This window comes from Homo sapiens, chromosome 2, assembly GCF_000001405.40.
Source record: "Homo sapiens chromosome 2, GRCh38.p14 Primary Assembly".
NCBI lineage: Eukaryota > Metazoa > Chordata > Mammalia > Primates > Hominidae > Homo > Homo sapiens.
In genome coordinates, this window is record NC_000002.12 from 43,841,069 (window position 1) to 43,856,859 (window position 15,791).

Genomic DNA, 15,791 nt, shown 5'->3' on the forward strand with positions numbered 1-15,791 from the left:
GGCAGAGCTGTGTGTGACCTAGGCTGAATGTTTCGATAAAATTTCTTCAGCCAGGAACAAGTCCTGCGTGTCCTCTTGCCAACCCTCCAGCCGTGAGTGTCAGCACATCACTCCCCCCGGGGCATAGGCTCCTCATCTCAGAACTAGAAACATGTGCTCTGTGAGTTTCCTTCTTGCCTAGGCATCTGACTCAGGAATTTGATCAGAAGTTAATACGAGGAGAAATTACAATGTAGCCCAGCATGAGCAGAGCTGGTTACCTACAAATAAACCTGCTTTTGCTTTTTTGGGTGTCACCTGTCAGAAATTCAAGTGATGTTCTGACAGTCGTACTGATTAAGATGTCAGCCGAATAGATACTTAAGTATTTGAAAAATACAGAGAGTTTGTCAAAACCTCAGGAAGAGTCTAACAAATCCTTCCTGGGAGCCAAGGAAAATATTTTAAAATGGAACAGAGGTCGTCCCCAACCCAGGCACGAATTTTCTTCCTCCGAAAGATGAGCTGCCTGTGCAACTCCTGGAAGGCACAATCCCTCAATGGTGGTTGGAGTCAGGGCTGGCCCACACCTGCCTTCCCAGGCCACAGTGAAGGGGCTTGGGGTGAGCCTTGGAACAAGCAACCAGGCACCTCTCCCCTTCCTCTTACCCAGTTTCTGCTCTGCCTCCTCTGTCTGCCAGCTCCCTCCCCTTCTCAAAGCACCACACAGTGGAACCCAGTTGGGCTGCAGGTTACCTCCACACATTGCTCCAGACTCCAAATGTCTGACCTTCCTTCCTCAGCGCCTCCTCCATGCCTAAATCCGACCTGGGGATGTTTTGGCCAGCAGAAGTAATTTCTCAGCTCATTTACATTGTCTAATATCCCTCCTGCAGATATTTGTTTTAAAAACAACAACAGCAAGATGCATGTTAGCCCACATGAGTCTCTTAGAAATGGATAAGATTTTTTTTTTTTTGACAGAGTCTCACGCTGTGGCCCAGGCTGGAGTGCAGAGGCACGATCTCGGCTCCCTGCACCTCCACCTGCCGGTTCAAGTGATTCTCCTGCCTCAACCTCTTGAGTAGGGTAGCTGGGACTATAGGGGTGTGCCACCATGCCCGGCAATTTTTTTTTGTATTTTTAGTAGAGACAGGGTTTCACTGTTTTGGCCAAGCTGGTCTTGAACTCCTGGCCTCAGGTGATCTGCCCTCCTCAGCTTCCCAAAGTGCTGGGATTACAGGCATGAGCCACTGCGCACAGCTGGCAATGGCTAAGATTTTTTGATGATTCAACAACAACAACAAAAATGGGACAATGAAGCAATGTGCACAGTGACAGCGGAGAGGGCGAGTGAGGGGCAAGGCCGAAGGGCTGATCTGCCAGGAGTCCAGCATCTGTCCGAGCTGCTTTCAATCTCCTCAGGAGCTTGGGGCACAGACCTTCTTACCTCCTCTCCCTCAACCTCCCTCCTGCTTGGGGGCTTTGGCAACTGGGGTTGAGGTGGGAATGGAACTCTGGAGTTCTACTCACTGGCTTGCTCTCTCAATTTGACAACATATTGTGAAATATCGTACACAAATCAGCTTAAAGAACTCTCATGTACACACCACCAATTACCAAAAGCTTTGAAGCTTGATCCCCGCACTCCTACTGTGTCCCCTTTCTCCTTTCATCTCTCCCCGCTCCCCAGAGATAACCCCTCTCCTGAATTAGGTGTTTATCTTTCCCATTTTTTTCTGTATAATTTTGGGTCTTTATGGTGATAATTCAAACATTAAGCAATGGAAGTCACTTTCGTCTGCTGTTTTTCATACTCTCCCAGAACTCTAAGGGTTCCCCACAGCACGCCTGCGGCATACTGTCACCGAATTTCTTTCCCTCCACCTCCACTGACCTGGAATGTTCTTTCCGAGAACTTCTGGCCCCCATCATTGCAGGGGTACTTTGACAAGAAGACTGCTGTATGTTATTTGTTATTTTCACGTAAGGCATAAGTCATGTTAGTTTCACCTACAGCATGTGCGTGCATTGTGTACATAGTGAAAATAAACCCTGGTCAGATGCTTGAGGTCAGCCTCCCTCTCTGCCTGGTCTGTCTCGCTCCATCGTAATCACCTGTCTCATCTGCCAAAATCTAAGCTTTTCAACGGCCTTTTCATTGTCACATCCCAAATTCCAAGCCTGAAGGGTGTTCTGGGCTCCCCATAAGTGTTTGTTGGGTGCATGGTTGATTGAAGGAATGTATAGTGTGAGAATGGTAGCTTGAGGAGGAAAGTCTATGGGAACTTGTTAATGAAAGTGTACTTGTTCCTGCCTGACAGAAATGTAAGAAAAATTGAATGCAGTAAAAAATGGAGGTCAGACGAGGTGGTTCACCCTTGTAATCACAGCACTTTGGGATGCTGAGGTGGGTGGATCACTTGAGCCCAGGAGTTTGAGACCAACATGGTGAAACCCTGTCTCTACAAAAAATACAAAAATTAGCTGGGTGTGGTGGGGAGGCTGAGGTGGGAGGATTGCTTGAGCCTGAGAGGTTGAGGATGCAGTGAGCTGTGATCATGTCACTGCACTCCATCCTGGGTGATAGAGCGAGACCCAATCCAAAGAAAAAGAAATGATGGGGGACTTCCTGTTGCTTCTTTGTTTGGGCCTCAATGGTTTAAATGATTGAATTGTCAAAATAGGAGGAATTGAGATCTGCAGATGGTTAATACCATTCAAAGGTATCAGCCGACACCATGAAACATTGATTTTTTAATGTACATTCAAATATACCACCACTTCGACAATAACAACAACATGATGATGATGATGAGAGGGACTTCCTCTCAAAGCTCCCAGCAGCATTTTCCATCACTTTGTTGCATGAACTCTTCATCAAAATCAGATATGAGGAGAAGTATGCCAGATGTTAGTGAGGACTAAGATGTTGGTTAGAATTTTTCTCAGGGTGGTATCTTCATGAATATTGGGCATTAACTCTCAACAGCTGCTTCCCTCTCACATGCTGCAAGTGTCATGTCTGTTTGGCCTCAGGAGATATTAAGCCAGCTGCAGGGAAGAGAAAGTTAAAGGCAAAGAGTTTGCCCACTCCAGTCAGGTCTTCTCAGAGCACAGAGGTTTTTTTATAGAACTCTCTCCGGTCCAGAGTCTGGGTCTCTTTACCAGAAGCTGCTTGGCTTCAGGCTCCACCAGCCTGAGGTTGAGGTTCTCTGGGAAGGTGCCCCGGGAGAAGCCCCAAACCTCTCTCTGAAGGGAAGAGGAGATGGGCCCTTGTCAGCACTCCTATTTTCCCAAAGCCCTGAGGTTCCACCTGTGCAATCCCATCTGTTGCCAATTTGAGATTTAACCACGTCGGCTCTAAGAAGTTGCTCTCACCTGTTGGTTTCCTTCTTGTCTTCTCCTATGTTCTCAGCAGCTTCTAAAGGAGCCCCTCATCTCTCCTGTCTCCCACAGGGCCTCCAGGATAGATTGTTCTCCTCTGAAAGTGACAACAGCCTGTACTTCACCTACAGTGGCCAGCCCAACACCCTGGAGGTCAGAGACCTCAACTACCAGGTAGAGGCACGCCTGGGTTCAAGGGGAGAGGAGCAGGCAGGGACAGCCAGGAAATTCCCCGGGTGGAAATAAAAGGGTGGGCCCAACTTGCAGGCCCTCTGCCCGCAAGGACAGAGTCCAGTCCACATTGATGCCTCACGTGTCAGGTGCAATAGGTGTCATCAATGGCATATATCAGAGCTGGAGGTTGAGAGGCTTGAAAAGAGAATAAAACTGTTGTATAAACATAAAACAAAATGCGTGAACCTATAGAAAAATGTCTCTGGGACTCTTTTTAAACTATATTTTGAAATAACTTTAGATTTTGGAAAAAATTGCAAAAATAACACAGTGTTTCCATATACCCATTGTCCAGCTTCCCCTAATGTTAACATCTTGCATACCCATAGTATAATTATGAACACTAAGAAATGAACAATGTACAATGCTATTAACTACAGACTTTATTCAGATTTCATTAGTTATATATATATGTGTGTGTGTGTGTGTGTATATATATATATATATATATAATTTTTTTTTTGTAAAATGTACTATCCCTGGAGCTTATAAAACATCCAGAGTGCAAAGACAATGACTGACCTTTCAGAGGCACCCAGGAACCCCCTGGTCAGATTCAAGGATCCATATTCCCACAGCTCCCCAGGGACCCAGATGGGACATGGTGGGGTCTGGGATGGTGAACTTCAGAGGCCTGAGTCTGGCTTCCTGTGGGTGTGAGTTGGGACAAGCCAATGAGCCTTTCTCTGCTCTGCCACTTACCAGCTGTGTGACCTTGAGCAAGTTGCTTAACTGCCCTGAGCCTCATCTGTAAAACAAGGATTCTGAGCATATCTATGTTATAGATTTGCAGTGAGGATTGAATAAGGTGATGGATGTTAAGTGATTAACACAATGTCTTGCACATAGTAAACATCTGATAAATTATTAGTAAATTACTAGTATCAAGTGAAGACATTTTGCTTCGTGTTTTATTTTTATTTCTGTACCACTATTGCACATGATTTTCTTTTTTCCTTACTTTTTTTTTTGAGATGGAGTCTCATTCTGTCACCCAGGCTGGGATGCAGTGGTGCAATCTTGGCTGACTGCAATCTCTGCCTCCCAAATTCAAGTGATTCTCCTGCCTCAGCCTCCCAAGTAGCTGGGATTACAGGCAACCACCACCATGCCTGGCTAATTTTTGTATTTTTAGTAGAGGCGGGGTTTTACCATGTTGGCCAGGCTGGTCTCAAACTCCTGACCTCAGGTGATCCACCTGCCTCAGCCTTCCAAAGTGCTGAGATTACAGGCATGAGCCACCATGCCTGGCCTGTACATGCTTTTCATTCTTCTTATCTTCAGACCTAGAAACAGCAGCTACAGGTTCTCAGCATGGGTCCTGCTTCCGTGTTTGGTAGAACCTGGGTTGGGGCCTATTGTGTGTAGGTGAGGACATATCCTCTGTGGAGAGGGGCCACCTGGGGAACGAAGATGCTGAACAGAAGTTGCTGAAGCCCTCTGAACCATTCAGCTCTCTAAGGAACCTTCTGATATCTCCCCACAGGTGGACCTGGCCTCTCAGGTCCCTTGGTTTGAGCAGCTGGCTCAGTTCAAGATGCCCTGGACATCTCCCAGCTGCCAGAATTCTTGTGAGCTGGGCATCCAGAACCTAAGCTTCAAAGTGAGAAGTGGGCAGATGCTGGCCATCATAGGGAGCTCAGGTACCGGAAAGGCAAATCGCTGGGCAATGGTTTCTCTCCTGGGATACAGAATGGTCCTTTGGACAAATGGATGCTTCTTATGGAGCTCTTTGCTGACTAGTAGAATAATACAGCAGAATGGCTGAGAACACAGGTTCTGGGTCAGACAGACCTGGGCTCAAATCCTGGCTCCTCCATTTGCTGGCTTGAGGGTAGGTGCTGTTGTTAAGAGTCATGAGTGCGCCTCTTGTCCACCCGAGGCTGTGGCCAGAGCATCTGACTTTGGCTAACACCTGGACGGAGAGATCAGCAAACAGCTCCAGCATGTAATGTTCTTTTCAGACTCCTCCAGCCATGAGGGGCATTGGTTCAGGTTGTTCCTCCACAATCACATTCTGATTATGGCCAGACAGCCCCTGCCACACTCTCACCTCTCAGACAGCCTCTCCAGTGTCTTACTTAGCACAACTTTCACTCATCTGCAAAGAGCCAGGTTCTTGGAGTGCCTCAAATTGTCATTTCCATGGCCAAATTTAAAATGAGAGAATGTCTGAGCTGAAAGGGGGCTTGGGGAACAGAGGTCATTCTCATCATGTTCCACCTTTCTTTCTCCCTACCAGTTTGGAAGCATTTTCAGAGGAAGGTGTTCAAACTCCCTACTCCTCAGTGTGTCTAGAGTATCCTCCTGCACGCGCGCGTGCACACACACACACACACACACACACACACACACACTCCCCTCCATTTGACAGATGAGGAGACTCAAATCCAAAGAAATTGAGGGATTCTCGTAAGGACACATATTTAATGCAGAGCTAGAACTAGAACTTTGGTTTCATCATTCTCGGATCAAGACATTTCTCCCTGGGACACCCTTACATAGTGCTGGAGAGAGCATTTTATATCTTTTAATTAATCATTTCCAGAGGTAGAGATTACTCAATTTTTTAAACATTCTGCTCCAAACTTTTACACCCGTCTGGTAGATAAGTTCTGTTTACCGTATAACCAAAGATCAAATGAAATCTTATGTATAAATGCACTTTGTAACTGAAACAGCATCACAGTCATGAAGTCCCTCTCACTCTGTCCCTGTCCCTGCAATCCTGACCTAAATAAGAAAAAAGTAGATCCCGGCCAGGCACAGTGGCTCATACCTGTAATCCTAGCACTTTGGGAGGCCGAGGCGGGCAGATCACGAGGTCAGGAGATCGAGACCGTCCTGGCTATCACGGTGAAACCCCGTCTCTACTAAAAATACAAAAAATTAGCTGGGTGTCGTGGTGGGTGCCTGTAGTCCCAGCTACTTGGGAGGTTGAGGCAGGAGAATGGCGTGAACCTGGGAGGTGGAGCTTGCAGTGAGTCGAGATCGCGCCACTGCACTCCAGCCTGGGCAACAGAGCACGATCCCGTCTCTTAGAAAGGAATGAATAAATTACACTGAATAGTCTCCTGTTTTGTTTTTTTTGTTGTTGTTGTTTTGTTTTTTTGAGGCAGTCTCTCTCTGTTGCCTAGGCTGGATTGCAGTGGTGTGATCTCGGCTCACTGCAACCCGCTCCTCCTGGGTTCAAGCGAGTCTCATGTCTCAGCCTCCCAAGTAGCTGGGATTACAGGTGGGTGCCACTATGCCTGGCTCATTTTTTTTTGTATTTTTTGTAGAGATATGGTTTTGCCATGGTGGCCAGGCTGATCTCCAACTCCTGGCCTCAGGTGATCTGCTTGCCTTGGCCTCTCAAAGTGCTGGGATTACAGGCATGAGTCACTGCACCGAGCATCTCCTGGTTGTTTATAGATTCAGTGTTGTTTGGCTTCAGGTTTACTTGCCTGTGTAAAAAAAACAAAAACAAAAAACAAAACAACAACAAACAACTTTAGACAAATAAATAGTAGAGTTGTCTGAGCAAATAGTGATTAATGAATCTGGCAGCACTCAAAAACAGGACCAGTTCAGAGGCTCCCCCAAGCAATTTGGTCAGGCAGTATTTATAGACAGAAAAAGGAAGTGCCCTACAGAAATAGCTGATTGGTTACAGTTGGGTGTTCACCTTATTTATTTGAGGGTGATGTGATCAGGTGTTGGGTATGGACAGGAGCTCATCAGTCGGTAGCCTGTGATTGGCTGATGCTTGGCTGCCATGATTGGCTGAGACTCAGCAACTTGTCTCAGCCAGTCTCTGTCTTAAGAGAATATACTGCTAAGATAAGTTGCAGTTTGTTTACATACTAAGTTTGCTTGCAGTTTGCTCTGTGGGAACTCAAAGTATGCAGGCAGCCTCAGGCCAAATTTAGTTTAACTGAGCAGCTGAAATTATTAAAATGATTTATTAGAAAGGTTCATCAACTACACTTCCTGTGACTTTTACTGCCATCCCCCTCTCCCCCTGCCCAACATACACACAAAAGAACGCTGGCCATAATTTTTAAAATACAAAGAAAACAGCCAGGCTGGGCACGGTGGCTCATGCCTGTAATCCCAGCACTTTGGGAGGCTGAGGCAAGTGGATCACCTGAGGTCAGGAGTTCGAGACCAGCCTGGCCAACATGGTGAAACCCTGTCTCTACTAAAAAAAAAATACAAAAAATTAGCTGGGCGTGGTGGCACGTGCCTGTAATCCCAGCTACTTGGGAGGCTGATGTGGGAGAATCGCTTGAACCCTGGAGGTGGAGGTTGCAGTGAGCTGAGATTGCACCATTGCACTCCAGCCTGGGCAGCAAGAGCAAAACACTGTCTAAAAAAAAAAAAAAAAAAAAAAAAAGGAAAAGAAAAGAAAGCAGCCCTAGGCATTTTAGTTTCTTTTATACTCTCAGCAATGCCAAAAGTGGTTTCCAATTGATGAGTTTATTGATTTGGAGATTCCAGCCATTGAATAAGGGTCTTGAATGCCAGTGGGTGTTTTGTCTTAGTTCATGGAAGGTGTATTAGTCCGTTTTCACACTGCTCTAAAGAACTACCTGAGACTGGGTAACTTATAAAGAAAAGAGGTTTAATTGACTCAGAGTTCCTCATGGCTGGGGAGGCCTCAGGAAACTTACAATCATGGTGGAAGGCAAAGGGGAAGCAAGGTACATCTTACATGGTGGCAGGAGAGAAGAATGAGGGGAGGAACTGCCAAAAACTTTTAAACCATAAGAGTGTAAACTTTTTAAACTCACTCACTATCATGAGAACAGCATAGAGGAAATCTACCTTTATGATCCAATCACCTCCCACCAGATCCCTCCCTCGACACGTGGGGATTACAATTTCGGATGAGATTCGGGTGGGGACACAGAGCCAAACCATATCAGAGAGTCTCCCCAGATGCCACAGGCATCCTCCATTGGAAGGCTCCCCACCGCTCTCACAAAGTTTTGCTCAGAAAACGTGGCCTTCCTGCTTTCTGAGTGGGAATCCGTGGTCCCTGTGAATGTTGGTGAAGTCCTCTGTGTCCCTGGAGCCTGGCTCTGAAGCTTCTCTCCCAGGTTTCTCTCCTGGCTATTTTGTTCCACTCATGTTCTCAGGGATCTTAAATGAGGTACACCCAGAGGTGGTGCACAGGCCCCTTCTACCCTGAGAGCCTCTGCACAGTAACCAGAAAGATCATGTGAAGAAGCTTCTTGGTTTTTGGAGATCAAAACTCCATCTGGGGCCGGGCACGGTGGCTCACGTCTGTCATCCCAGCACTTTGGGAGGCCGAGGCAGGCGGATCACCTGAGGTCAGGGGTTCGAGACCAGCCTGGCCAACATGGTGAAACCCCGTCGCTGCTAAAAATACAAAAATTAGCTGGGTGTGGTGGCGGGTGTGGTGGCAGGCATGGTGGCAGGTGCCTGTAATCCCAGCTACTCAGGAGGCTGAGGCAGGGGAATCTCTTGAACCTGGATGGTAGAGGCTGCAGTGCTCCAGCCTGGGCCACAGAGGGAGACCCCATCTCCAAAACAAACAAGCAAACAAGCAGAAAACACTCCATCTGCGGGAGTGGAAAGAGCTCATTCCTAGCTCCACGGTAGGAAGATGTTCTGAGCCTGAGCCCAATCCGCATTCATAGCTTGAACAGCTGTCACAGACAGAGGCTCACCGAAAGTTTTTGGAAACTGGATCCAATCTGATGCTTACTTTCTCAAATCAATAATAATTAGTACATCATTCAGAAGAGGGTGCTGTTAACTTGAGTGCAATGAATCTTTTTTTAACTTTTATTTTAGGTTTGGGGATGCACAAGTAGGTTTGTTATATAGGTAAACTAGTGTCACGGGGTTTTGTTGTACAGATTATTTAATCACCCAGGTAGTAAGCTTTGTACCCAAGTGTTTTTTCCTGCTCTCCCTCCTCCCATCCTCCACCCTCAGTTAGGTGAATCCTTTTTTAAAAAAGAGTATTAAAAATACCACTGATGCACTTTGGGAGGCCCAGGCGGGTAGATCACCTGAGGTCAGGAGTTCAAGACCAGCCTCGCCAACATGGCGAAACCCTGTCTCTACTAAAAATACAAAAATTAGCCGGGCATGGTAGCGCCTGTAATCCCAGCTACTCAGGAGGCTGAGGCAGGGAGAATTGCTTGAACTCGGGAGGCAGAGATTGCAGTGAGCTGAGATCACACCATTGCACTCCAGCCTGGGCAGCAGAGTGGGACTCTGTCTCAAAAAAAAAAAAAAAAAGAAAAAGTAAAAGTACCACTGATGAAAAGAAGAGAGATGGGTGTAGATACAGTCAGAACATATATGTACACTGTGCTGTAGTTTTAAATTGTTTCCACTTCTATTATTTCTCTATTTTTTTCTCCATTATTTCTCAAAATAGATTTGGTTTTGCATGTTTAAAAGACGCTCTATAAATGCTCCAAATTAGTCCTCACAAAGCCAGCTTCTGAGCCAACCGACATTGAATAATGAGACATTGCTGGCATGTTTGCCAGCCAAAAATAGTTATGTTAACACCAGCCTGCCTTGGGGAGAAAGGGCCTTGGTGGGTGGCAGGAGGGGACAAATGCTCCAGGCACCAGCTGGCCCTGTGGCATCTAGGACTCTAGCTTTCTCCTGTCAGGCCACCACTGGCTGGCCTGGCCTGAACCCCCAGCGCCATCATGCCTTGCAGCCCCACAGGGGTGCTCACGTTGGCTGCAGACAGAAGGCTTGGAGCTCCATGTCCTGGGCCCACCCCATCTAGGTCCAGGGACTATGCCACCTCTCTAGGGGCTGGTCACATCTGCACGGACAGAGTAGTCCGGGGTCCTGGAGAGTGTATGGGGAGCAGTGGCTGACAGCCTGGCCCCCACAGAAGCTCCGCTCTCAGGGATATCCCTGGTGGCTTTGCAGGTTGTGGGAGAGCCTCCTTGCTAGATGTGATCACTGGCCGAGGTCACGGCGGCAAGATCAAGTCAGGCCAGATCTGGATCAATGGGCAGCCCAGCTCGCCTCAGCTGGTGAGGAAGTGTGTGGCCCACGTGCGCCAGCACAACCAGCTGCTCCCCAACTTGACTGTGCGAGAGACCTTGGCCTTCATTGCCCAGATGCGGCTGCCCAGAACCTTCTCCCAGGCCCAGCGTGACAAAAGGGTAACTAACTGGCCCCAGTGGTGACCCCCAGGTCCAAGAAGCTACAGTGTCCATGCCCCGCTCCTCCCCTGCTGCCTTGCCTCAGGACCCAGCCGCAGGTCGAGTTTGAACAACTCAGCTTGCCTTCCGCCAGCCCTGGGCTGCAGCCCACCCTCCACCCTCCTTTCAAACCCCACAGCCCGCCAGAAGCTAGCTCAGCCCATTGGTTCCCTTCACTGCACTTGTCAAGATGTGGGATGAGTGTATTTGTTTGTGTGTTTTCTGGGCCTCCATGTGGGTAGAGAGCCATGGTCCCCAATACACTGCCACGTTCCTAACACAGGGCACCATGCCCAGCACGTCGAGGCCCCTCGGGACCTGTGGAAAGAATCAGGGGAACCAATGTTGCAGCTTGGAACTCAAGTGCTGGAGCTGTCTCCCTTCACTTTCAAACCCAGCCGGAGGAGCGGGCGCCTTTATCCTTGGGGTCACAATGTGTCCAGCCCTGAAGGAGGCCCCTGAGGTGGCCTCAAAGCTCCTTCTGGCCCACAGGTGGAGGACGTGATCGCGGAGCTGCGGCTTAGGCAGTGCGCTGACACCCGCGTGGGCAACATGTACGTGCGGGGGTTGTCGGGGGGTGAGCGCAGGAGAGTCAGCATTGGGGTGCAGCTCCTGTGGAACCCAGGTGAGGGCCTGGGGGGCAGATGGGGGCAGAGGGACCTGTGCGGTCCCCTCAGGCTTGGCTTGGTCTGGCCAGAGCCCCACCGACTCACCAGGCTCCTCTCTGTGTTGGAAAGGAATCCTTATTCTCGACGAACCCACCTCTGGGCTCGACAGCTTCACAGCCCACAACCTGGTGAAGACCTTGTCCAGGCTGGCCAAAGGCAACCGGCTGGTGCTCATCTCCCTCCACCAGCCTCGCTCTGACATCTTCAGGCTGTTTGATCTGGTCCTCCTGATGACGTCTGGCACCCCCATCTACTTAGGGGCGGCCCAGCACATGGTCCAGTATTTCACAGCCATCGGCTACCCCTGTCCTCGCTACAGCAATCCTGCTGACTTCTATGGTGAGTCCCCAAGGCCAGCAGCCAGGGCCCTGGCACACAGGGCCTCCCCGATGCTTAAACCCTGCCCAAGCTTGCTGGAAAGATTCAGGGGAGAAACTCCCAGAGGTTTCAGGAGAGGAGGAGCAATGATGGGGAAGAACATGGGGTGGTTTGCCAGGTATCAAATGCTAGAAATGAGGGCCTGGAAATAGAAGCTTCTGACAAAGAGCTACCCTTCTGTGCATGATAGATTAGAAACTTGCAAACTCCAAAGATGGGAGGGCATGGAATTCAAGAGGGTGGGGATCAATAAATATCAGAGTCTTTATTCAGACTCAGTAGGGAAACAACCTTTAAGGTCAAGAAGTCACCAGATCTTAAAACATGCCCTGGTGTTCCCACAGTGGCAGGGAGCCTGAAGGTGCAGGGTGGCAGAGGGGGGCCCAGGGTGGTGGCCTTGGCCAGGGAATCTCTAGATGTGAAAATTGCTCTGGCAGCCCCAGGCTTGCCCTTTGCTTGGGTCCTGAACACTCAGCATATTACACTCAGGGAGCATGAGCCGCTTCCTTCATTCTGCAGGGGACAGTTGCCTTCCCAGGTACCTGGCCTGAAATCCTGAGTGCTGAGGAAGGGCATGGCTGCTGGACAGGCGTCATGGTTGTACCAGGTCCCAGGGAGACAGCTGTCATGGCTTATGCTATAGGTCGCCTGAGCCCCCAGCTTCCACCCAGGATGGCAAACTGTAGCAAGGACCCCACCAGTAAACAGGACAACAGCGATCATCTCCTTGAAGGCAAACATGGGGCCCAAACATGCCAGGCTCAAAGGGTCTCCTGTTTGACTCTCAAGCCCCGGCCAGGCCAAGGCCATCTCCATCTTTACAGATGAGAAGCCTGGAGCTTGCAGAGCTAAACACCTGTTCCAGCACAGTTGTAAGGCACAGAACTGGGACTGGTGCCCAGCCCTGGCTGTGACTCCTCGTCCAGCAGCCCACACCCTCCTCCTAGTGTCCCAAGTTCTCCACCATCCTTCCCCCAGGAGGACAGGCCGCCCCTTGCCCTCTGTACTCACATTCTGCATGAACTCACAGAAAGGTCACCTCCCTCCCTGTGCTCAGGTGGCAGCCTGGCTTCCTGACGGTGTGTCATCCTCAGGCCAGCCATCCCCAGAATAGGGGCCAAAAGGCACCTGCCGACCTGGCCATCGGGGAATAATTTAAAGTAACCCCAGAGAGGGGTTACCAGAAGTCAAGTGTCCACAGCAAACCTGAAAACTCTTTTTTACATTTTATATTGTTACTGGAAGGGGCTCTGGCCTGCAAGCCCTGGGGCAGGAACCTCTCACCAACCTGGGATGCAAGAGCTACACGGGGCCTGGGTTACCCAAAAATCTGATGTTTTGAGCTACAGTGCTGCACACTAGGGGGCCACATCATGGTTTATAAGACCCCACCTAGACATTATCTTGTCTTGAGATGTGTTATGAAAATGGGAGGAAGGGCCGGGTGCAGTGGCTCATGCCTGTAATCCCAGCACTTTCAGAGGCTGAGGCAGGCAGATCACATGAGGTCAGGAGTTTGAGACCAGCCTGGCCAACATGGTGAAACTCTGTCTCTAATAAAAATATATGAATTAGCTGGGTGCGTGACGCTTGCCTATAGTACCAGCTACTTGGGAGGCTGAGGCACGAGAATTGCTTGAACCTGAGAGGCGGAGGTTGCAGTGAGCTGAGATTGTGCCACTGCACCCCAGTCTGGGCGATAGAGTGAGACTCCATCTCAAAAAAAAAAAAAAAAAAAGGATATGGGAGGAGGGAAGGGGAAGAGAGAGGAGTGGGGAACCTCTAGCCAAGCCAAGGTTCTGGGGAAGGAATGAAGGGAGGGTGGGCAGGCATGCATGGTCCTAGACTGAGCTGGGTATAGGGAGATCCTGGCTGTGGCTGGGCTCAGTTTGCCTTTTCTGGCATTGCCAGGGCCTTGGAGGTAGAAGGCAGAGGCACTGCAAGAGGACAGCTGTGGTGTGGGGTTGCCTGGTGCTCCCTACAGGTTAGCATCCCTGGGATTTAGGAGGCAGGGGCTGATCAGATTGGGTCTACAGCCAAGTGTGCTGTCTCCCTCCTGGGGCAGAGCAGCCGACCAAGGGGTCAGTGAGAAATCTACCTGAAGTTGGCCGGTCCCTAGAACCCTCCAGCCAGACATTCTCCTGCTTTCGGCAGGGTGCCTGGGAGGCCAAGTTATTAATTTTCAGTGAGAATTCTCACCATCTGGATAGAACTCTCACAATCTGGATAGAATTCTCATTCTCTGGATAGAACTCTCAATATCTATCTGGATATAATTGTCGCCCTCTGAATAGAACTCTCACTATCTCAATACAATTCTCACCATCTAGATAGAACTCTCACTATCTGCATAGAATTCTCACTCTCTGTATATAACTCTCACTATCTATCGAGATAGAATACTCACTCTCTGGATAGAACTCTCACTATCTGGATAGAATTCTCACTCTCTGGATAGATCTCTTACTGTCTATCTGGATAGAATTCTCACTCTGGGGACAGAACTCTCACTATCTATCTGGATGGAATTCTCTCCCTCTGCATAGGACTGTCACTCTCTGGATAGAATTCTCACCATCTGGATAGAACTCCCACTATCTGGAAAGAATTCTCAGTCTTTAGTTAGAACTCTCGCTATCTTTGTGGATACAGTTCTCACCCTCCAGAGAGAACTCTCACTATCTATCTAGATAGAATTATCACTCTCTGGATAGAAATCTCACTATCTGTCTGGATAGAATTCTCACCATCAGGATAGAACTCTCACTGTCTGGATAAAATTCTCACCATCGGGATAGAACTCTCACTATCTAGATAGAATTCTCACTCTCTGGATAGAACTCTCACCATCTAAATATAATTCTCACTCTCAGGATAGAACTCTCACTATCTATCTGGATGGGATTCTCCCTCTATGGATAGAACTCTCAGTGTATATCTGGATAGAATTCTCACTCACTGTATAGAACTCTCACTATCTGTCTGGATAGAATTCTCACCATGTGTATTGATCTCTCACTCTCGGGATAGAATTATAACTCTCTGGATAGAACTCTCACTATCTATCTGGATAGAATTCTTACCATCTGGATAGAACTCTCACTATCTGAATAGAATTCTCACTCTCTGGATAGAACTCTCACTTTCTAGCTTGCTAGAATTCTCACCCTCTGGATACAGTTCTAACTATCTGTATAGAATTCTCACACTCTGGGTAGAACTCCCACTATGTATCTGGATAGAGTTCTCACTTTCTGGATAGAACTCTCACTATCTATCTGAATAGAATTCTCACCCTATGGGTAGAACTCTGACTATCTGTCTGGATAGAATTCTCTCCATCCTGACAGAACTCTCAATATCTGGATGGAATTCTCACTCTCTGGATAGAACTCTCACTCTCTTTGTGGATAGAACTCTCACTCCCTGTCTGGATAGAACTCTCACACCCTGTCTGGATAGAACTCTCACTCCCTGTCTGGATAGAACTCTCACTCTCTAGATAGAACTGTTAATAACTGGATAGAATTTTCACCATCTGGATAGAACTCTCACTATCTGGATAGAACTCTCACCATGTGTATAAAACTCTCACTGTGTGGGAAGAGAACTCTCACTTTCTGGATAGAAATCTCACTTTCTATCTGGATAGAACTCTCCCCATGTAGATAGAACTCTCCCTATCTGGATACAATTTTCCCATCTGAATAGAACTCTCTATCCGGATAGAATTCTCACTCTCTGGGTAGAACTCTCTATCTATCTGGATATAATTCTCACTTTCTGGATAGAACTCTCACTATCTATCTGGATGGAATTCTCACCATCTGGAAGAAGTTTCACTATCTGGATAGAATTCTCACTCTAGATAAAACTCTCACTATCTATCTGGATAGAATTCTCACCCTCTGGATAGAACGCTCACTATCTATCTGGATAGAATTCTCACTCT

The 15,791-nt window shown here is 48.3% G+C and overlaps 1 protein-coding gene and 1 long non-coding RNA gene across 3 annotated transcripts in view, besides 1 other annotated feature; one reads left to right on the plus strand and one right to left on the minus strand.

Annotated features, from left to right (window-relative positions):
- The window catches only part of ABCG8 (ATP binding cassette subfamily G member 8), a 44,018-nt gene that overhangs the window by 2,098 nt on the left and 26,129 nt on the right, over positions 1-15,791 (plus strand). For both annotated transcript variants that reach the window (NM_022437.3, NM_001357321.2), the window contains exons 2-6: positions 3,439-3,540; positions 5,087-5,243; positions 10,516-10,754; positions 11,286-11,418; positions 11,531-11,800. In NM_022437.3, coding sequence (NP_071882.1) covers positions 3,439-3,540; positions 5,087-5,243; positions 10,516-10,754; positions 11,286-11,418; positions 11,531-11,800 — 901 coding nt within the window. The remainder of the gene's footprint in view (positions 1-3,438; positions 3,541-5,086; positions 5,244-10,515; positions 10,755-11,285; positions 11,419-11,530; positions 11,801-15,791) is intronic.
- Positions 2,719-3,452, minus strand: LOC102725159 (uncharacterized). The gene is made up of 2 exons (XR_940032.4): positions 3,361-3,452; positions 2,719-3,033 (listed from the first exon to the last, which is right to left on the minus strand). It is a non-coding gene; the product is annotated as an uncharacterized LOC102725159 (long non-coding RNA).
- Positions 7,338-7,387: a silencer, noted in NCBI's record as "silent region_11428". NCBI's record gives its function as "represses an Ori minimal core promoter by ATAC-STARR-seq in GM12878 lymphoblastoid cells {active_cell/tissue: GM12878}" and the evidence as "EXISTENCE:reporter gene assay evidence [ECO:0000049][PMID:35858748]".